Source organism: Homo sapiens, chromosome 9 (genome assembly GCF_000001405.40).
Source record: "Homo sapiens chromosome 9, GRCh38.p14 Primary Assembly".
In the NCBI taxonomy this organism is placed as follows: Eukaryota; Metazoa; Chordata; class Mammalia; order Primates; family Hominidae; genus Homo; species Homo sapiens.
Window position 1 is genome coordinate 94,884,055 of NC_000009.12, and position 23,688 is coordinate 94,907,742.

The window sequence follows — 23,688 nt, forward strand, 5'->3', positions numbered from 1 at the left end:
CATGCGCACCTGCCTTGGAAGGCAGAGAGCTGCTTGGACCTGCCCTCTGGGTGTCTGTCCTCATCAGCACAAAGAAGCCCCAATCCGAAGCCTTTGCCCTCCTGATTCTGAGACAGATGGCGAGAAGAAGAAACCATTAAATTCCTTCTAATAGCCCTGTTTACTTTTTCCTTTGTCTCAGATTGTTCCTTGATATCAGTGGGTACAATTGTTAACAAAAAACAATTAAGGGTGCTTACGTGAGACTTTGAAATTCAAACCCAAGATAGCTATTCTACCAGCTAAGGAATGAGTTTGTACGGAATTGGCCTGTGGTACCTCAGTGAGACTAGGAAAGTTGAAAATGAGATGCTGTTAGCCAGTAAGGATGTTCTGACCAAATAGACATTAAGGCTAACTTGGCATAATCACAAACATGAAACACTACCACCAGGAAAGACTTGGGATATAAAGAGGCTGTACAGCACAGTGCACAGGCTCTGGAGCAGGACCGCAGGGTGCCAACCCCAGACCCCCAGACCTGCTACGAGTTAACTGTGTGATAGAAGTTACGTAACCTCCCCAAACTTCAGTTTCGTCATCCAAAAAGTGGGGATGATATTACTACCATACCTATCTCACAGCGTTGTTAAGATGAAGCGAGTAAATGCATGTATAGCTCTTAAATCAGGCACTGGCCGGGCGCGGTGGCTCACGCCTGTAATCCCAGCACTTTGGGAGGCCGAGGCGGGCGGATCACGAGGTCAGGAGATCGAGACCATCCTGGCCAACATGGTGAAACCCGTCTCTATTAAAAATATAAAAATTAGCTGGGCGTGGTGGCGGGCGCCTGTAGTCCCAGCTACTCGGGAGGCTGAGGCAGGAGAATGGCGTGAACCCGGGAGGCGGAGCTTGCAGTGAGCCGAGATCGCACCACTGCACTCCAGCCTGGGCGACAGAGCGAGACTCCGTCTCAAAAAAAAAAAAAAAAAAATCAGACACTGGTGCAAAGTGCTATATTAACATTTGTGCTTGCCGCATGCAGTGGCTCACGCCTGTAATCCCAGCACTTGGAGAGGATGAGGAGGGTGGATCACTTGAACCCAGGACTTATAGACTAGCCTAGGCAACATGGAGGAACCCCATCTCTACAAAACATACAAAAATTAGCCAGGCACAGTGATGTGTACCTGTAGTCCTAGCTACTTGGTAGGCTGAAGTGGGAGGATCGCTTGAGCCTGGGAAGTTGAGGCTATAGTGAGCCAAGATCATACAACTGCACTGCAGCCTGGGTGACAGAGTGAGATCCTGTCTCAAAAAAAAAAAAAAAAAAAAAAAAAAAAAAAAAAAAAAAAAAGACATTGTGCTAGCATTATTATTTTGTACTGAAAAATACAAATATATCCTATATTAGTTATTTACTGAATGCACGTGGCTAAAGGGAAAAAGCATGGAGGAATACACACAGGAAGTTTTTATCAGCCAGGCCTGGTGCTGGCTGGTGTCACTCCTACTCGCATTCCTCAGCTAGAACTCACATGGCCACAGCTAACTGCAGGGGAAGCTGGGACATGTAGCCTAACACTTTGAGCCCAGGAACAAGAGGAGAATGTGAATTTTGCTGAGTAGTCTTCATCAAGCCAAAACCCATCCATAAGTGCCTACATGGTTTTGCATTCTTGGGTTAAGAACCACTGGAATAGACAGATCAAGTAGATAAAATACATGTATAGTAATCATATTTTGCTAGCAGAATTGGAGTGTGTGGCCTAAACATTATTTTTTCTGATTTACAAAAGCTTTCTGTATGAAAAGTATTATAAAATAATAAAAATTAAATTAATTTGGTTGTATATTTAAAGAGTTGCCTTTATTGAAAAGGATATAATTGTATGAAATCAGGGCAGTGCCAGAAGATCGCAGAGTTCTCTGTTCAGTAACGAACAACTGACCCACCATTGTAAAATCCATATTTACTCTCTTGGTTCAGTGGCCAGGATTAGTATCAGTATGACCTGAGGTTAGTAGAGTACTACAAAAAAGGTGTTGGTAAAATTAAAACCACAAAGCTTTGTGGACAATGGAGAGGTCTGTATGGAACCCAAGGGTGAAAGCAATAGAAAATTGATGAAAAAGCTAGCCCAAAGGAGAAGCAGAAGCCAGGGCATCTGTCAGGTGCTGGGCAGTGAAATTTCCTAGCTACTTTCTAAAGTACACAAAGAAAATAGAGCCAGGGACCAGGTGTGCTGTGTTGGGTGTGTGAACATTCCTGAGACGTCCATAAGCTGATTTATAAAAACTTAGTCTTAATGCTTTAGAAAAGATACCTATATAATTACGCCTACAGAAAAGGTTAAAAAATCCTTTTTATTCATGTGGTTTTATAAGCCTAAGCATTTACCAATGTTCTTGAAGAAGATTGTCACACTAGTTTATGTTACATATTTAAGAAGGCAAACTTGTGATAATTTTTAAAATTCAGAATATAAATGGCTCACTATGAATTTTTTTCTTTTCAAATTTTTTGCAACAAACATATTAGTTTCTGAGTTAGCATTAAGAAAAATAAAAAGATAATATTATGCAAGATTTTCTTAGAAAAAGTGTTTAGACTGATTTCCTACAGTTTGATTGTTTTCTGTTACTTTGCATTCTTGAATTGTTGTGGAACAGTGCAGTCACATTTTATGCAAGGTTTGTACAACATTTTAAATTAAGCTCATAAGTCTAAAAATCCCAATAGTTGCAATCATCCTGAAAATTCTTTAAAGTACCCACAATATATACTATATATGGGTTTGTATATATAAATCTGTTGCTTAATATGAATGTGTAATATAGATTAAAATACAGTTATATATGGGTTTGTATATATAAATCTGTTGCTTAGTATGAATGGGTAATATAGATTAAAATACAGTCCATAATGAAATATACATGCCAAGTGTTGTTTCATGGTACTATTTAAATTATTAGTCTCTGTTTCATTATTATGAGTGGGCGTAGTTTAACTCATGTCAGGTAAGGCTAGGTATAGTAGCTCATGCCTGTAATCCCAGCACTTTGGGAGGCCAAGGTGAGTGGATCCCTTGAGCTCAGGAGTTCGAGACCAGCCTAGGAAACAAAGTGAGACCCCCCCCGTCTCTACAAAAAATTAAAAAAAAATTAGTCAAGTATGGTGGCATGCACCTGTAGTCCCAGCTACTTGGGGAGCTGAGGTGGGAGGATGGCTTGAGCCTGGGAGGCAGAGGTTACAGTGAGCTAAGATTGCACCATTGCACTCCAGCCTAGGCGACAGAGCCAGACCCTGTCTCCAAAATAATAATAATAATAATAATAATAATTCATGTAAGTTAAATTCACACAGGATGGAATTCCATGGTATAATGGCATAAGCATTGTACTTGAGTTGGAAGTCCTGGTATTTTATGACCTGGGACAAGTCATTTGACCTTTCCAAGCCTTACCTCTGATGCCTGTAAGATGGGGCTTCTACTACTTACTTCTTAAGTTGGATTAAAGATGAAGTGAAATGACATAAACTCTAAAGTGCTAAACCTATCAAGAGGCTGCTACTAGATTGAGAGTGTTGGGAGGGCAGGTACCATGTCAGTGTTACTGCTATTGCATTTTCATAAGTTTTTGCTGGAAGTCACATTGGAAGACCAAATCAGTGAGATAACTCGGTCCTCTCTTTCCTGTCCACGGGCAGACAGGACAGATAGACCTGTGCACAGAGTGGTGTCAACATATCTGAAGTAATGAAAGCAAATTAGGCTTTTTTTTTCTGAAACTTCAGTCCATACAGAGAAACTAGGGCTGCGCATGTTTAAGTGAAACAAGCCTCTACAGAAATTCAGTGTAAACACTGGAAATTTCCTTCATTAGGCAGTGAGCAGTGGGTTTTATTGGGAAAGGATTTGTCATGTTGAAAGCTATCCAAGTATAAGGCCATTGTTTGCTTTGACTATTGAAAATATGTTTGTTCACTAAACTTTCACCTTTTTATCCAATATTACATCTTAAAAAGAGGATTATTTTAATTATAGTAGCACCTAACTAATTTGATAAGTGACAAGTCAAGGAGTGAAAATGAAAATAAGCGAGAAAATCTCTCCATAACAGCTGAGGTGACTGTGTCAACCAATTATAGTTTTATTCTCTTCTCCACAAAATGAGACTTTAAACATTTTGTCCATAGTGACCTCAAGTGATGTGAATCCAAGGAATAAATTGAGATGGAATCATGAAGAACCTTACCGTGTGTGTGTGTGTGTGTGTGTGTGTGTGTGTGTGTGTACTTTTTATTTTGAAATAATTATAGAGTCACAGAAAGTTGCAAAGACCTGTACAAGGAGGGCCTATGTACCCATCAGTCAGCCTTCCATAGTGTTAACATCTTGTATAACCACAATACAGTATCAAAACCAGCAAATTCACATTGGTGTAATCCACAATTTATTCAGATTTCAGCAGTTATGTTGTAGTCTTGTCAATGTATCAAGATGTACTAGTCTGTCGTTGTCTGAGATGGTACCTGGAGTTCTTTGTCTCACATCTAAGAGAATTAAGGAGTGTGGACACAAGGGTGGAGTGAAACTTTAATAAGTCAAAGAAAGTTTTTTGTAGTGGAAGGTGAGGCCTGAATGGGTTGTCCCCTATGAGGTTGGGGTCTAGGGTTTTTATGGACTGGGAAGGGGAAGGAACGTGTTTAGTCCTTAGTTCTCTTGGACATGAGTAAAGGGACTACTATCTCAGACAACAAGAGACTATTACATCTTGGTACACTGATGAGACTACAACAGTTATACATGCATTATTTTCTCTCTGCATGTGTACGTGTATAGTTCTAGGTGATTTTATCATGCATGAAGCTGCCACCACCACATGTAACCACCACCACATGACTGTGGTATACCATTGCCTCAAGGCTCCCTCATATAACTTGCTTAGAGCTCTAGCGGCGGCTTCCTCTCCCCTGCCCCTCGAAACCTCTCCTCTGTTCTCCTTTTTGCAGTGGCGTGATCTCAGCTCACTGCAACCTCTGTCTCCTGGGCTCAAGCGATTCTCCTGCCTCAGCCTCCTGAGTAGCTGGTATTACAGGTGCCCACCACCACGCCCGGCTAATTTTTGTATTTTTAGTAGAGATGGGGTTTCACCATGTTGGCCAGGCTGGTCTCAAACTCCTGACCTCAAGTGATCCACCCGCCTTGGCCTCCCAAAGTGCTATATCTTTTTAAAATTAGTCTTTTTCACTCAGCATAATTTTTTTGAGATTAATTCAATCTACTGTATGTATCAAAAGTTTGTTCCTTTTTACTGCTGAGTAGAATTTCATGGTATGAATATACCACAGTTTGTTTAACCATTCACCACCAAAGACATTTGGACAATTTTCCCTATTTGGATGTTACAAATAAAACTGTTATGAACATTCATGTGCAAGTTTCTTTTTGTTGTTGTTTGTTTTTGGAGATGGAGTCTTGCTCTATCACCCAGGCTGGAGTGCAGTGGTACCATCATAGCTCACTGCAGCCTCGACCTCCTGGGGTCAAGTGATCCTCCCACCTTGGCCTCCCAAAGTGCTAGGATTACAGGTGTGAGCCACCGCACCTGGTCATCATGTACAAATTTCTGCATGAAAATAATTTTTCAGTTCTCTAGATAAATACCCAAGACAGTTCAATTGTGGGTCATATGGTAAGCCCCTTTTCAGTTTAAAACTATTTCTCAAAGAAATGTGCCGTTTTACATTTCTTCTAGCAGTGTATGAGTGATTCAGTCTTTCCACATCGTCACCATCATTTAGTGTTACCACTTTGTAATTTTAGCCAATCAGATAGGTATGTAGTGGTACCACATTGTGGTTTTAATTCACATTTCTATAATGGCTAATTATGTTGAATATTTTTATGTGCTTAAGTGCCATCTGTATATCCTCTTTGAAGTATCTGTGCATATCTTTTGCCCATGTTCTAATTGTATTACTTGATTTTTTTTTTTTTTTTTGATACAGAGTCTCACTCTGTCGACCAGGCTGGAGTGCAGTGGTGTGATGGTCTTGGCTCACTGCAACCTCTGCCTCTCAGGTTCAAGCAATTCTCCTGCCTCAGCCTCCCGAGTAGCTGGGACTACAGGTGCGCACCACTATGCCTGGCTAATTTTTGTGGTTTTTTTGTTTTTTTTTGAAACGGAGCCTTGCTCTGTCACCCAGGCTGGAGCGCAGTGGCATGATCTCGGCTAACTGCAACCTCCGCCTCCTGGGTTCAAGCAATTCTCCTGCCTCAGCCTTCCAAGTAGCTGGGATTACAGGCTCCTGCTCCCCACACATATTGGTCAGGCTGGTCTTGAACTCCTGACCTCAGGTGATCCACCCGCCTCAGCCTCCCAAAGTGCTGGGATTACAGGCATGAGCCACTATGCCTGGCTGTATTATTTGATTTTTAATATGCAGTTTTGAGAGTTTTCATTTTCAGTGATTTGTGTTCTAATCTTTACTATTTCCTTCCTTCTGTTTGCTGTGGGTTTATTCTGCTCTTTTTAAAAAATTGTTTGTAGATCTTTCCTTTTTTTCTAATGTCAGCAGTTCTATACATTCGCTTCTCCACATTGCTTTAGCTGCATCCCACAAACTTTGGTTTTTTCATTCAGTTCTGTGTATTTTTAAATTTTTGACACTCTTTGATCCATGCATTATTATGTGTTATTGTTTAATTTCCAAGTGTTTGGAGATTTTCTATTGATTTCTTTCTAGTTTCATTCCATTAAGGCCAGAGAATATATTCTCTATGATTTGAATTATTTTAAATTTGTTAATATTTGTTTTGTGACTCAGGGCCTGTTGTGGTGAATGTTCCATGGGTGCTTGAAAAGAATATGTATTCTACTGTTGTTGGGTAGAGCCTTCTTTAAATGCCAATTTGATCTTGTTGGTTGATGGTCAGCTTTTCTAGATCCTTGCTGATTTTCTGTCAAGTAGTTCTATGAATTGCTGAAAGCAGGGTACTGAAATAACCAACTACAATTGTAGATTGCCGGTTTCTCCTTTTAGCTTTATCAGTTTCTACCTCATGTACTTTTAAGCTCTTGTTTAGTGCATACACATTTAGGATAGCTATAGCTTCTTGGCAGAGAGTAATGTTTGTCTTTTTTACTTTTCTTTGCTCAGAAGTCTACTTAGTCTACTTTATCTGATAGTAATATAGCCACTCCTGCTTTTTTGGATTAATATTTGCATGATATATCTTTTTCTATCCTGTCACTTTCAACCTACCTATGTTGTTACGCTTGAAGTGAATTTCTTACAGTTTCTTCTATAGTTGGGTTGGGTTTTACTTTTAAATTGGCATATTTAGGCCATTTATATTTAATGTAATTATGATATGCTAGGGCTTAAGTTAGCCATTTTATTTTTATTTTATGCTTGTTTTGTTATTCTTCTGTTTCTTTTATCTTGCTTTTCATTTTGATTTTTTTAGCATATTGCATTTTACAGATTTTTTTAGTGGTTCTTTCATGCAATACCATATACATATGTAACTTATGGCAGCCTACTGTTTTTGACATTTTACCCCTTAAAGGGAAATGCAGAACTCTTCCATTTAGATACCTTTACCCTCCTCACTTCTGAAATATATTTTGTCTTAGGTGTTTCCTCTAGATACATTGTGTGTCATATTAGGTAGTGTTATAACTTTTGTTCAACCATAAAATAAGATTTTTAAAACCCATAAGGTGAAGAATAGGCTATTACATTTTTACTCATTCTTTTCTTCTTTCCTTTCTGAATGTCCCAACCTTCTTCTGTTATTATTTCCTTTTTGTTAAGAAGAGCTTCCTTTAACTATTCTTTAAAGGTGGGTCTGCTAGCAACAATTTCTCTTAATCCTTTATCTTAGAATGTCTTTATTTCCCCATTATTTCTGAAAGGATTTAGGGTTGATATTTCTTTCAGCACTTGAAAAATATTATGCATCTTCCTTTTGGCCTCCATAGTTTCAGATGGGACAACCACTGTCTTTCAAATTAGTATTTACTTATAGATAATGTGTAATTTCCCTGTGTTTTCAAGATTTTTTTTCTTTGTCTTTTGTTTTCAGAAGTTTAATCCTAATTTATCTTGGCATGGGTTTCTTTGGGTTTATCCTATTTGGGACTTACTCAGCTTCTTGAAACTGTAGGTTTATGTCTTTTGCCAAACTTGAGAAGTTTTCAAATCTACTCCCTTCCTCCTCTCTTTCTGAGACCTTTATGATATGAATTTAGATCTTTTATTATTTTCCCACAGAACCCTGAAGCAGTGTTCATTTTTTTCTATTTTCTCACTGTTGTTCAAATTGAGTAAATTTTATTGATCTGCTGTCAGATTCATTGATTCTATCTCCACTATGCTATCAAGTTCACTCAAAACACCCAGAAGTTGGCTACATAGAGCTCGCTGGAAGAAGCAGGCCCAGAAAGGGGCAGATTAAGAGACAGACATGTTAGTGACAGCCATAAATTCTCTGAGTGGAGCAAGAAGGAAGAGTGAGGGCTGAGGATAGTTTCTGTGAGATGGCCTCATTTGGAGGGTGAAGAGAAAAGAAACCATGGAGCAGGTGCTGACTTCTGTGTAGAGTGAAGGTGCTATTGTCCTGTTGTCATTTGGCTAACTAGAATGTTTTATGCTGTTTTCTTTTTCTTTCTATTATTTTTTAAAGAGGGAGGGTCTTGCTCTGTCACTGAGCCTGGAGTGTATTGGTACCAGAATGGCTCACTGGAGTCTTGAACTCCTAGGCTCAAGCAATCCTCCTGCCTCAGCCTGTCAAGTAGGTAGGACTAGAGATACAGGCCACGTCACCTGACTAATTGTTTCTTGCTAGGTTGCCCAGGCTTGTCTTGAACACCTGACCTCAAGCAATCTTCCCACTTCAGCCTCCCAAAGTGCTGGGATTCCAGGGGTTAGCTACCTCACTTGGATGTTTTATGCTATTTTCTTGATATAGTGCCTCTCTCTGCTTTGTATAATCAAATATATGACAGAATGATTGCATTTTTTAAGCCTTGAGAAGACCCTTATAGAAAACTGAGACCTAGAGTGTGAAATTACTTCACTAAGGTCACAAGACTGTGACGTGGTAGAATGGCAACTGAACTCTAGAGTATTATTTTCTCTTAGCTTTTCTCTTGTTGCTCCAGCAGTCATTTATTGAACACCCTTTTGGGTGCATTATAGGATAGAAGGGAACATAAGACACTCAAGTTGCTTATAGTTTTACCGGGAAGATAAAGACACAGGAAATAGCCAGGTAGCAGTGTAAGGCCCATTGGATGGCATGCAGAATGAGTCTAGTCAGTGAGGGCACGGGAGGAGTGAAGGAGGGGTCAGGAAGGGCAGGTGGCCTGGTTTCATGGATGAGTCCAGACTCGAGCCTGAAAAGGTAAGTATAAAATGAGGAAATGAGAAGACATTTGAGAAAAAGAGGTATATAAGCCAGGTTTTTAACAACCTACATGTCAAATCCTGTTCTTTCTTATTGGCTCATTTTGCCATGCATCCCTATAAAACTAATGATTTAGTAGTCAGTCTTGTGCTTGTGTGAGGAGAGGCTTTCCAGAGCCAGTTAACCTCAGAAACATAAACCCATTGAATACAGACAGCATTCATTCATTCAGCCTACCTTTACTGAACAACAGCTATGTACCAAATACAATACCAGGTGTTAGAGTTAGAAAATGAACAAGACAGGTCTCTTTCTCTTAAGAAACCAATAATACAGAAATAACATTATTCTCTTCTTAGAAAGAAAAATGTAAAATGTGTAATTGTCTGCTTTATAAACTGACAGTTCATGGAACATTTGTAGAAATTAATCACATTGGAAGACTTGCTAAAAATGTCAATCAGTTCCTCAAAAGTAGAAATAAGACTATCTTTGGTCACAATGCAGTAAGGTAATAAAATGAGGAAATAATAAAAGAAGAACAATTTATCCCTCTTCTACTAAAACCTCTCTGAACTTTTGGGTCAAAGAATAAATTAACCCCAAAATGCAGAATATCTAGAAAACAATATATAGCTCAATCTATGGAATGCCACCAAAATTGTTCTTGATGAAAAATGTATAGTCTAACATCACTTCTGAGGTTAGAAAACAACAATAAAATCAACCTACAGAATGCAAAAGAAAGAAAGATCAAAGCAGATATGAATTAATTAGAAGATATGAGAGAAAAACCAGAATTGACAAATACAAAAGTTGATTTATTGCCAAAACCAATAAAACAGAGATAACATTGGCTAACTGCATTAAGAGGGGAAAGAGAAAAACTCACTAATCCAGAGGATTAGAAATCATAAGTGACAAATAGTAACAGATGCAGAGGAAATTAAAAGAATCATATATAGTACTTTGTGAACTTTTCAGCAAAGAATTTTGACAATCTGACTGAAATAAATGATTTTCTAAGAACATATGAGTCACCAAAAATTGATACCGAATGAATTATTAGACAACCTAAGTAAACAATACCCATGGAAGAAAGTTAGCAAAGAATTTTTCCTGGAAAAACACCAGACCCACAGAGTTTCTTTCATAAGTGAATTTGCTCAAAATTTCAATAAACAGGTCAGTTCTAACTGTAAAGATATTTTCATAGAAAGGAAGGCTTTCAAATTATGTTTATGACCAGCAAAATACTAATGCCATAACCTGACAAGTTAGACAGAACAATAACATACTATAAGCTACTCTTATTTGTAAATATCAATGTAAAAATAACAAACAACATACATAACTCAATAACATATCAAAAGCATGATAAACCCAAACTAGATGGGTTTTATCCTAAAAGTGTAAGGATGGTTCCATCTTAAGAAATGTGTTAGGAAAACTTATATTTATAGGTCAAATATGTCAAAACTCAGTAGTTGCAAATAAGGCAGTTAGCAAAATTCAATAATATTTCTAATAAATACTTCTAGAGAAAATAGGACGAAGTGATATTTCTTTAATGTTATGTAAACTCTCTCTCTGTGTGTTTGTGTGTGTGTGTATTTGTAATCAAAAGGCAGCATGAGGCTGGATGTGGTGGCTCACACATGTAATCCCAGCACATTGGAAGGCCGAGGCAGGAGGATTGCTTGAGTCTGGGAGTTTGAGAGTAGCCTGGGCAACATAGCAACACAGTGAAACCTCATCTCTACTAAAAAAAAATAAAATAAAATAAAAAAAAAAAATAGCTGGGCATGGTGGTGTGCACCTGTAGTCCCAGCTGCTCAGGAAGCTGAGGTAGAAGGATTGCTTGAACCTGGAAAGTCAAGGCTAAAGTGAGCTGTGGTCATGCCACTGCACTCCAGCCTAGGTGACAGAGCAAGACCCTGTCTCACACACACAAAAAGGAAAAAAAAAAAAAAAAAGCTAGCATTATATTAGTAATGAAACAACAAAAGAAAATTCTATTTAAAGTTAAGATTAAAACAAGACAAGGTACCTACCATCACCATCACTATGTAATAATATTTGGATTCTAGACTCATGGTTAGTAAACTACCTGTAAGCCAAGTGCCTGCTTTTTTCTTTTTTCTTTTTTTTGAGACAGAGTCTCCCTCTGTCACCCAGGTTGGAGTGCAGTGGCATGATCTCAGCTCACTGCAGCCTCCGCCTCCTGGGTTCAAGCAGTTCTCATGCCTCAGCCTCTGGAGTAGCTGATTTTTGTACTGTTAGTAGAGACAGGGTCTCACTATGTTTGAGAGGCTGGTCTTGAAATCCTGACAGGTGATCCACATGCCTCGGCCTCCCAAAGTGCTGAGATTACAGATGTGAGCCCCTGCACTCGGCTGTGCTTTTTAAATAAAGTTTTATTGGAGCACAGCATTGCCCAGTCATTTATGTATTGTCTGTGGCTGCTTTCATGCCACAACTGCAGAAATGAGTAGTTGTGACAGAGGTTGTATGTTATAAAGCCTAAAATATTTGCTATCCTTTTATGGAGAATGTTTGCCTATCTCTATTCTAGACAATACTAATAGATAAATGAAAGAAATTAGAGGTAGAATTATTGAAAGGAGGCAGCAAAATTATCATTATTTTCGGAGGATGCATAGGAAAACCAAGATGATCAACTGAATGGAAAATAGAAACAATACAACTCGATAAGATGGATGGTTACAAAATAAACTTCTTAAAAATCATTCATTTTCTGATTTACAAACAAACAGTTATAATGGAAGAAGAGCTCCCATTTAGAAAAGCACAGAAAAGAAATGCTTATGAGTCTATATGATATGAATAAATTATGGAATGAATAAATAAGAATCTCCTGTACTGAATTCCAAATACTGCATGTAGATGCTCCCCTTCCGAGGAGATGGGACATAATGCCCTGCCTCTTAAGTGTGGACTGTGTATAGTGACTTCCTTCCAAAGGTCACAGTAGGGAAAGTGGGGGGAAAGAATAACGTTACAGTGGAGAAACCTGACAGACTGGACTGCTGCTTCTGCGGGGTGATCAAGGTTAGCATCAACAGTGATGTCATGTTGATAGCAGGTTCCTTGATGTGATGTGATGAGAACGCACTTTATATCTCTATTCTTTTTCCTAAAAACCTATAACCCATGTCTAACTGAAAAATCTCAGACAAACCTAAATTGAAGGACATTCTGTAAAGTACTTGACCATTACACCTTAAAACTGTCAAGGTCATCAAAATCTAGGAATGTCTGAGAAACTGTCTCAAGCAAGAGAAGCCTAAGGAGACATGAAGACTAAATGTTATGTGGTATTCTGGTAAAAACTAAGGAATTCGGAGTGAACTACAGACTTTAATAATGACATATTAATATTGGTTAATTGTATTAGCATTGTACATTTTGACAAATGTCTCAACTTTTGTGGGTTTTTTTTTTTTTTTTTGGTTTTTGGTTTTAACTTTTGTGTTTCTAAAACTAAAGTAAAATGTTTATTTAAATTAAAAAGCACCAAAATTTGAATGTGAAACATAAGGTGTATAGTTTGTCCTCAGTAAATTTCCCTGGTCATGTACATGTAAATATATATTTTTGGAAAGGTTTAAAAAAGTCATCTGAAAAAATAAATGTGAGGATGAATGGGAAAAAATTTTGAAGAGTAATGATGAGGGGTTCTATTATATTTCTATCTAAAACATGTTATAAAGATATATTAATCAGAATAGTTTGTTGCTTGAGAAGTTAAATTAAGCCCTTGAAATGTAAAAGAATAAAACTCAAAAATAAAGTCAAATACATTCAGATTTTTTTATATGATGAAATGAGCATTTCAAATCAATGAAGAAAAGATGGACTGATCAATAAATGTTATTGAGACATCCGATTCACAATTTGGAAATTTAGCTGCATACCATATTTCTTTCACCAAAATAAATTCCACATCAAATATTAAATAAAAAAAAGCACATCAAACCACAGTAGGAAACAAACATGAGTAAATAAATGCATTCTTGATATGTGGGAAACTTTTTAGAGTCAGAAAGTAAAATTCAAAAGCTGTAAAGAGAAATAGTGATAAAACATGTTTAATAAAAACTTCAAACTTCTAATTGAAAGAAATACAAAAAGAAATACAACAAATGAAAGGGGGTGTAGACAAATAAAGGGCTAAGTTTCTTATTTTATCAAGTGTTCTAACAAATGTTTTAATAAAAATCTCTCTCCCCAAATAAAAATTAACTCATTAGTAAAGCTGGCAAATGAAACTGCCATTCTCATTTGTTTTTTTGTGGGGATAGAAATTGTTGTGACTTCTTTGAGGGCCATTTGCAGTATTTACTGAAGTTTCAAAAGTATGCCTTTTTTTTTTTTTTTGGATACAGAGACTTGCTCTGTCGCCCAGGCTGGAATGCAATAGCACTATCTCGGCTCACTGCAACCTCTGCCTCCCAGGTTCAAGCGATTCTCCTGCCTCAGCCTCCAGAGTAGCTGGGATTACAAGCGCGCACCACCATGCCTGGCTGATTTTTGTATTTTTAGTAAAGATGGGGTTTCACCATGTTGGCCAGGCTGGTCTAGAACTCCTGTCCTCAGGTGATCCAACTGCCTCAGCCTCCCGAAATGCTGGGATTACAGGCATGAGCCACTGTGCCCAGCCTAAAAGTATGCTCTCTTTGACTCAGCACTTCCACTGCTAGGAATTTCACCAAAGTGTAGGTGGCTAAATAAGCAAGAATGTTTACTTCAGCATTGCTGGTAAAAGCAAAGCTCTGGAAACTCATGAGGGGCCAGGATATGTGCATTCTGCTGCACCATTCAGTGGAATTCTATGCAGCCTTTAAAAAGAATGAAGCTGGCCAGGCGTGGTGGCTCATGTCTGTAATCCCAGCACCTTGGGAGGCTGAGGCAGGCGGATCACCTGAGGTCAGGAGTTCGAGACCAGCCTGGCCAACATGGTGAAACCTCATCTCTACTAAAAGTACAAAAATTAGCCAGGTGTGGGGCACTTGTAATTCCAGCTACTTGGAAGGCTGAGGCAGGAGAATCGCTTGAAGGCAGGAGAATCGCTTGAACCCAGGAGGTGGAGCTTGCAGTGAGCCAGATCGCGCCATTGCACTCCAGCCTGGGCGACAGAACAAGACTGTCTCAAAAATAAAAAATAAAATGAAAAAAAAAAAAAGGCCGGGTGCAGTGGCTCATGCCTGTAATCCCAGCACTTTGGGAGGCCGAGGCGGGTGGATCATGAGGTCAGGAGATCGAGACCATCCTGGCTAACACAGTGAAACTGCGTCTCTACTAAAAATACAAAAAATTAGCAGGGCGTGGTGGCAGGCGCTTGTAGTCCCAGCTACTCAGGAGGCTGAGGCAGGAGAATGGCGTGAACTCGGGAGGTGGAGCTTGCAGTGAGCCGAGATCACGCCATTGCACTCCAGCCTGGGCGACAGAGCGAGCCTGGGCACTGTCTCAAATAAATAAATAAATAAAAAGACTTAAGTAGACCAAATGTGGGAGAAGCTCCTTGGTATAATATCAACTGAAGAAACAAAATGCAATGTCCATCATGCATTTGTCCTTATTACCTTAAAATATTTTCTGGAGCAATTCGTAATACCTTTTTAACACTGGTTGCCTTGGAGGAGAAAAAGTCCAAGTGGAGGACTGATGGGAGGAGGGAAGATAATTTGCCTCTTCATTTGCTTTTTTTTTTTTTTTTTTTTTTTGAGAGGGAGTCTTGCTCTGTTGCCCAGGCTGGAGTGCAGTGGCGCCATCTCGGCTCACTGCAAGCTCCGCCTCCTGGGTTCACGCCATTCTCCTGCCTCAGCCTCCGGAGTAGCTGGGACTATAGGCGCCCGCCACCACGCCCGGCTATTTTTTTTTTTTTTTTTTAGTAGAGACGAGGTTTCACTGTGTTACATTTGCTATTTTTTTATATTGACTTTTTTTTAACCGTGCAACTGTTAGCTTATTAATAATTAAAATTATGAAGGCCAGGCACGGTGGCTCACACTTTTATTCCCAGCACTTTGGGAAGCTAAGATGGGAGAATTACTTGAGCCCAGGAGTTTGAGACCAGCCTGGGCAACAAAATGAGACCCCATCACTACAAAAAATTTACAAATTAGCCAGACGTGGCGGTGTGCACCTGTAGTCCCAGCTACTTGGGAGGCTGAGGTGGGAGGATTGCGTGAACCCAGGATGTTGAAGCTGCAGTGAGCCATGATCGCACCACTGCACTTCAGCCTAGGTGTCAGAGTGGGACCCTATCTAAAAAAAAACAAACAAAAACAAAAATATAAAATTCTCAGAACAAAGAAATTGGAACAAAGTACAGACAACCCTTTTCAATAAGCATTACAAAATTTTTAGACGTAGGTTGCTTGAGTCCCAACTTACTGTCTCTATAATTAGAATTATTGAGTTACTGAGTTAAATCTAGCCCCAAGCAGGTTAATGTGTTACCTGACCCCTCCCCCCCAGCCAAATATATAGATTCAAGTAAACTTTTTGAAATACTGAACTATGAGTCTGTGAGTCATAGTTCATGGATTCCTGTGGACTTGAATGAGATGGAGGGGTCTGGGGAACCCAGGTTAGAAACCACAGTTATAATATGAAGAGCACTGGGCAGGGGGGTCAGAGGATGAAGGCCAGACTGACTGCTGGCCGCCGCCAACTAGCTAGCTATGTGAGCCAACCTCTCAGCCTGAGTTTTCTTGTCTGTGAAATGAGACTGGGGGTAAAAGGAAGTGGTAAAAGACCCTTCTAGCAACCAAATTCTGTGATTTATGAATATTGTAACCTGTAAACTTTCAATGGCACCAAGGTGATTGTGAGGACCACAGTAGCCTGCTAATGTAAGCACTATTCTTCAGGTCACAGTTTCAGGGCCAAAACACCATCCTTCCCAGGTCGTCAAGTAATTCTCCTCGGTAGATGATCTGCTGAGGCCGGCGATTATTCAGCCCTTCGGGAGGTGAGTGCAGAGCTGTTTTTCTCACCATCTTTAGCCTTCTGGGTATTCCTCATGCTTCCCCCTCTCTCAGGAGAATCTCTTGCCTCCTCCTCATCTTCTTCTTCCTGATTTATCACTGCCTCTGCCCCATCTGACATTAGGAAAGTGTTTCATCGTGCTCGAGTAGAAGATTTCATGGGAAACAGACTACCATCTTTGGAACAGGATCCGATATGAATAATTCTTTGAAACATTTTTCTCTGCATGTCTGTATCTTAGTCAACTTTCAGTTTCCCCTGCTTGAGGAGAGTGGGGCATGTAGACAATCCAAATGTCATCTATATTTGGCTTTAGAGTGTGTTTTCTACTTAGCTTTGAGTTCTGGATAGATCTGCGATTCTGGGAACTGACTTTAAACAAAATCACGAAGCTTTGCAGTGAAGACACATCTGACTCACAAGTAAGTTGAATGCTTTCCAAGGGCCCATTTTTTTAGAACTTGCTCAACTCTTTCCTGCAATAATGCTGTGCTTGGATCAGCCCACTTTCTCTCAGACCCTGGCAAACTGGCCATTCCAATATTCCTTCCTGTTAAAAGGTGGTTGCCATTTGGCTTTTTATTTGTAATTCATGCGAAGTTCAATAAGTAATATGAAACATCATTTCAGTAAGTGGTTCGGTGGGAGACATTATCAAAACAATTAGAATGTGTTACTGTCAATAAGCAAGAAATCAAAATTTCATAATCTTCTCTGACTCATGTGGAATTGACTTATACTTATGGCCCTTTCAGCTTTTAATGAAGAATGGCCAAAAAGTATAGAGTATTCAAGTTTGCTCAAATAAGAATCGATTGCTTCTTCCTCTGAGCCCCCATAGCAAGAATGTATTTTTTCAATGTAGCGGCTTTAATCACCTAATAGTATAGTATAGTACATGTTTTAAATGGGAGGATGGGCACTGTCTTCATTCATCCTTAAGTCCCTGACACCTAGCCCAAGTTTCCACCTATGATCGGTGTTTATCTAGTATTTGTTAAATGTGGGATTTCTCTCCTGATTGTCGGATTAACCCTTGAGTCCTTAGGACTCCTCGCTGCTTCTCAGTATCTCACATACCTTTTGCTAGCCACAAGAGAAAAAACAAAAACAAAACACCTCGCATCTTCAACAACCTTCACTTAAAATGTGTATAATAACTTTTCACGTAGAAAAGTGCTGAGAAGGCTGGGTGCAGTGGCACATGCCTGTAATCCCAGCACTTTGGAAGGCTGAGGTGGGTGGGCACTTGAGGCCAGGAGTTCAAGACCAGCCTGGCCAACATAGCAAAACCCCGTCCTTACTAAAAATACAGAAAATTAGCCGGGCGTCGTGGAGCACATCTGTAATCTTAGCTACTTGGGAGACTGAGGATGCAGTGAGCTGAGATCGCGCCACTGCACTCCAGCCTGGGTGACAGAGTGAGACTGTGTCTCAAAAAAAAAGAAAAGAAAAGAAAAAGTGCTAATAAAATACCTTAATGTGCATATGAATGAATTGGGGATCTTGTTAAAATGCAGATTTCAATTCAGCAGTTCTGAGAAGAGGCTAAGATTCTTCATTTGTAATAAGAGCCCAGGTGTCTAGACCAGGACCACTGGTCCTGGTCACAGACCACACTTTGAGTATCAAGAACTCTAAGTTGACTTGTGTATATTGTTAATTGACTGAGTGTTTAAGCAGGGAGGAAAAACACGGTTTAGCTTTCCAGTGAGTATGTCATTTAATATTTCTTACACACACAGAAAGGGTGAGGAAGGGTTAACAGGGTTCTGTGTGAATGATGTTCAGCAGGTGAGAAAGGAAACTAATAAAGCTGGCTGGATCTTGCTTTATGTGCTGTGCCTCAGCTCAGCAAACTGAGCTGGAGTGGGGTTAGGGTGAGCAGGGTCAACTGCTAAAACACAGTTTACTGCGGGGGTGAGACAGCAGCTGTTTTAACATCTCCCCCAATACCACACCCCCTCTGAGGACTAGAAGCATAAGAATGTATTGTATCCAAAAGAAATGGTCAGGAATGGTAGTTTAGACCTGCCTGTCTCAAATACCAATTGCCTAGTTGAGAATTTACCCAAGACATTAGTACTAGTGATTATGTCACTTTTCTTCTGCAAAGATGTGTTCATCTGTCTCATTTGTCACAATTTAGGTACATACATTTTCTGGTCTTCAGTTTCCTAGAATTTTCTTAGATAGAAATATGCTGTGTGTGTGTACTTGTGGGTGTGTTCCCCTGGGGCTCTGTATCTGTGTGTCATTTGAAAGAAAATTTAAAGCTCTTTTTAAAATCTTTTTTTTTTTTGCCGGGCACCGTGGCTCACACCTGTAATCCCAGCACTTTGGGAGGCCGAGGTGGGCAGATCACCTGAGGTTGGGAGTTTGAGACCAGCCTGATCAACATGGAGAAACCCTGTCTCTACTAAAAATACAAAGTTCACTGGTGTGGTGGTGCATGCCTGTAATCCCAGTTACTCGGGAGACTGAGGCAGGAGAATCTCTTGAACCCGAAAGATTTTTTTTTTTTTGAAGACAGAGTCTCATTCTGTCTCCCAGGCTGGAGTGCAGTGGCCCGATCTTGGCTCATTGTAACCTCTGCCCCCCGGGTTCAAGCACTTCTCCTGCCTCAGCCTCCCGAGTAGCTGGGATTACAGGCACCTGCCACCACACTCGGCTAATTTTTGTCTTTTTTGTGGAGAGACGGGGTTTTACCATGTTGGCCAGGCTGGTCTTGAATTCCTGACCTCAAGTCATCCACCTACCTCAACCTCCCAAAGTGCTGGGATTACAGGCATGAGGCACCATGCCTGGCCTTAAAACCTTTTCTTGATAGCCTTTTGCATTTCAGGTTTCTTGAAGTATCTCTGCTTGTTTGCTTCTGTTTCAAAGATCATAACAGGCAGCAGGCCCCATTGTGGGGGAAAGTGGTAGCAAATGGATCTGTGATAGCAGGTGTCATCCTCATCATCTCTTTACAGTAATCGAATTGGTTGAAGATACATGGAAATCCAACTAGATACACTTGTAAAAATATCACCTGCCAGTGCAGTGGCTCACACTTATAATTCCAGTACATTGGGAGGCTGAGGTGGGAAGATTGCTTGAGGCCAGGAGTTCAAGACCAGCCTGGGCAATGTAGCAAGACTCCATCTCTAAAAAAAAAAAAAAAACAGTTTTCAAGTTTGCCTGGGTGTGGTGGCATGCACCTGTAGTCCTTGCTTCTTGGAGGACTGAGGCAGGAGGATTACTTGAGCCCAGCAGTTCAAGGTTACAGTGAGCTAATTAGCTGGGTGTGGTGGTGGGTACCTGCAATCCCAGGGAGGCTAAGACAGGAGAATTGCTTGAACTCAGGAGAAGGAGGTTGCAGTGAGCTGAGATTGCTCCATTGCACTCCAGCATGGGCAACAGAGTGAGACTCTGTCTAAAAAAAAAAAAAAAAAAAAGTTCAAAAAATGTTTAAAAAGTTACAGTGAGCTATGATTGTGCCACTGCATTCCAGCTTGGGTAACAGAGCAAGACTCTGTTTCTTAAAAAAAAAAAAAATTACTAAAACATTTGTGATTGCCATTTGATGACTACATACCGTAACTACTCAATTTTGCCTTCCTTTCATGTGAATAGTGTCCTTTGCTGCATCTGCATTTGAGCTGCCCAAGAGCCCAACTAAATTAATCCCTCCAGAAGTAAAGGAGATGAAATCAACCAATCTGAGGAAAGCCTGACCAAGGCATTCATGTATCAAAAAGATATGGAATACCTACCCACTGCATACATGATACTAGAAATCCTACAGCTTCCCTGCACAGTGGCTGTGGTTTTCATTTATATGAAACTGAGGCCAGAGAGGTAAAGAACTTGGCCTGAAGTCACATGGGGCACTGGGTATTATTTGAAGCAGTTTTTTTCAAAAAAGTCACGGAGAAACATTACTCAGAGCCTCTCCCTCACACCCTGCAGATAGAGCTCTGAATCTCGGCATCTGTGAGTTGTTTCTTTTGGGCTTTTTAAAAAGTCTTCCAGAATTGTGGAATGGGATAGTTTCAGTTAAAATATCTGTTTTTGAAAATCATGACCAATAATAAAAATCAAGAATGTCCTATTACATATTTCATACCTTTAAGAATTTTGTTTTGCTCTAATTGGTCTTATTGGATTAAATGATTTCTAAAGTCTTCTCTGGGACTTCACTTTTGTGTTTCAAGTTTCTTATCCATCTGAAAGCCATATATTTGGGTTAAACCAAATTATTAGCAATAGGTATCTTTGTAGAATTTCTAGTAGTTTGGAAGGAGTTGAATGTACTAGAATCATAGCACGTATTTCAGCTGCTTTATTAGCAGTCTAGCTAAGGGGAGTTTATTGTTCCAGTTTTAGTCATTATAATACAGCCCTGTTTAATATTGCATGATCTGTGGGTTGCCATAAACTTGGTACAAATTGGAGTGCTGATATAACATGAAATGAAGCGCCTTGTCTGAATGTTGCTTTTGTTTTGCATTTAACAAATTAGTATGTTGACATTTGTCACTGATGGATTTCATTATTTGCTGAAAGGGTTTTAGGGGGTTTGACAGCATGAATGGTTTGTCTTACAGACTTTTGAGAATTGATAAAAGCATCTTTGTTCTTTGTACAAAAGCACAACAGATATCGTATTGATGGACACACAAAAAGGGATGGCTTGTGTAGCTGCAACATAAAATAAACCAAGAAAATAATTTTCGAGTTGCTACTTACTCTTTTATGTGATTTCTTCTTCTCATCCTTTTTTTCCTGATAAAAGAATGAGTTTCGTTCATCTCAATAACAAGCTCAAGAGCAATCAATAATCTTTCAGTAAAATTAAAATATTGGCTTCTTTATGCTCCACTTACATATCGTTTAAGGAGGATTATTTTAAAACATTATAAACACAGTTATGGTTCAGATTGCATTAAATAACTGTTCCACGTCCTCAGATAACAGAGGTGAGATGGGGGAGCAGGAAACTAAGAGTTCCGTAAAATAAGGAAAAGGACTAAAATTTTGATTTCAAATTCTAGTTTTATCAAAATGGTAAATATGCATGTTCTTCTGTCATTTTTTTTTGTTATATTTAGAGGGATAGCCTCATCATTCAAATGTACCTTCCTGTACATATCATGGAGCCCTTATTGGAGGTTGCTCACCTCACGCTTTTGCCCCAATCTTGTTAAAATCTGTTATAAAGTATGCTCTGGGAAACACATGCACACACACTCACACTCACAGAGGACTTCCAGTAAAAGCCTTGCTAGAAAGCTACAAACAATGAAATCTATCAATGATCAGATGATAACACCCATCACTAACAACTGCCAACACTCAGACTAAAGCAGTCAAGACACTGAGGGAACCATCCATCATCCCTGTCATTTCTGCAGGGAGTGCAGAAGGGGCTGGGGGGAGGGGGCCGGGGCCCTGTAGTGGACAGAAGTGACAGCAGATCATGCAGCAGAATGCAGATCCAAACATGACCTCCAGTATCTACTGTGAAAATTTGTGGGAATCAAGACAGGGAAAGAAACGAATAACTTAATAAAGAATAAAAAAGTAAAGAATTTTGTTTATTGGTTGGGCATGGTAGCTCACACCTATAATCCCAACACTTTGGGAGGCTGAGGTGGCAGGATCACTTAAGCCCAGGAGTTCAAGACCAGTCTGGTCAATATAGTGAGACCCTGTCTCTGGCTGGGCACAGTAGCTCACACCTGTAATTCCAGCAGTTTGGGAGGCCGAGGTGGATGGATCACTTGAGCCCAGGAGATCGAGACCAGCCTGGGCAACATAGCGAGACTCTGTCTCTACAAAAAAAAAAAAATGTAAAAATTAACTGGGTGTGGTGATGCATGCCTGTAGTCCCAGCTACTCAGGAGGCTGACGCGGGAAGATTGCCTGAGCCAAGGAGGTCAAGGCAGCAGTGAGCCACTGTACTCCGGCCTGTGTGACAGAGTGAGACCCTGTCTGAAATAATAATAATAATAATAATAATAATAAAAAAACAGACCCCCTCTCTATAAATATAGATTTTAATAAAATTAACCAGGTCTCAGCTACTCAGTCCCAGCTACTCAGGATGCTGAGGTAGGAGGATTGCTTGAGCCCAGGAGTTCAAGGTTACAGTAAACTACGATTGTGCCACTGCACTCCAATCTGGGTAACAGAGTGAGACCTTGTCTCTAAAAACTTAAAAAATATTTTTGTTTATTGAATGTCTCTTCCTGCTACACTGTGACCTCCCTAAGGACCCCAGTCCACATCAGTTTGGTTTGCTAATGTATCCCAAGCCCCCAGGACAGAGCATGGCAATGTAGGCTCTCAGTTAATATTTGCTGAATCAATGAATGGTGCAGCAGCACTGTCCACCTTCTATGTCCTGTTTGCCCAACCCAGTCTTGGACTTAGGTGTGTGTTCCCTGAATGGAATCACCTGGTGACCCACAGACACAGAGCTGTTCCCCCCATGTGTACATCCAGCTGATACTAGAAAGGAGAGGTGGGCCCGAGTTTTGGCTCTGCTGCATCACTGGCTTGCTGTTCCAGGTCGGAATTTTCCTCTTTCTGAGCCTTTGTTTCTCACCCGAAGGGAACAAAAGGCCACCACCCTCACAAAGCTGTTGAGATTCAATGAAAAAGAGAGGAAAGATGGATATGAAGGGCCCCTAGAAATAAGGACATTACTAATTTCCTAAGGAAAGTACAGTCTTATGAGTGACATCACCGTATTTTAAAATCAGACACATTGGTTTCCTGCAGACACAGGGAAGACCCACACCTGCAGGCATGTGTGGAGCATGTGAACAACTCTGCTCTTTGATTTTGGCATGCTGCTTCTCGGGCTTCTCTAGAAAGGAGAAAACTGAAGAACTGAGAGACCCAGAGGCTGGTGTCCAGATCAAGTGCAGCTGCCATGTTTCAAGGAGAGCCGTCTTCTGTGTGTACACAGTGTTGGCCTCAGAGACCAGCCAGGAGAAGGCTGGCTGGGCACAGAGTCAAGCATCAGGACACAGAGTCATGCATCAGGTTGTTTTCCGCGGGGAAAGGTGTAAGGAGGAAAGGGCTGCCTGTTTTTTTGCCCCTTTACACACATGCATGTGTGCACACACATGCACACCCTCCCCCACACCAGTCTTCCCCAGAGCCTCTTCCAAAGCAACATCTCCAGCCTCGGGGTATCAACATTAGAGTGCAGTTCTCCTTCCAGGCATCTGGGAGCCTCCCTTGCAGCAACCCCTCTTCAGACTAGAATTCGAGG

The 23,688-nt window shown here is 40.2% G+C and overlaps 1 protein-coding gene across 50 annotated transcripts in view, besides 1 other annotated feature; it reads left to right on the forward strand.

Moving 5' to 3' along the window:
* Window positions 1–23,688, forward strand: part of AOPEP (aminopeptidase O (putative)) — a 423,526-nt gene that overhangs the window by 157,356 nt on the left and 242,482 nt on the right. The window lies entirely within an intron of this gene.
* Window positions 4,506–4,675: an enhancer, noted in NCBI's record as "experimental_110405 CRE fragment used in MPRA reporter constructs". NCBI's record gives its function as "activates a minimal promoter by MPRAs in K562 erythroleukemia cells, with activity observed for both the introgressed and non-introgressed 9:97650927 variant alleles {active_cell/tissue: K562}" and the evidence as "EXISTENCE:reporter gene assay evidence [ECO:0000049][PMID:34662402]".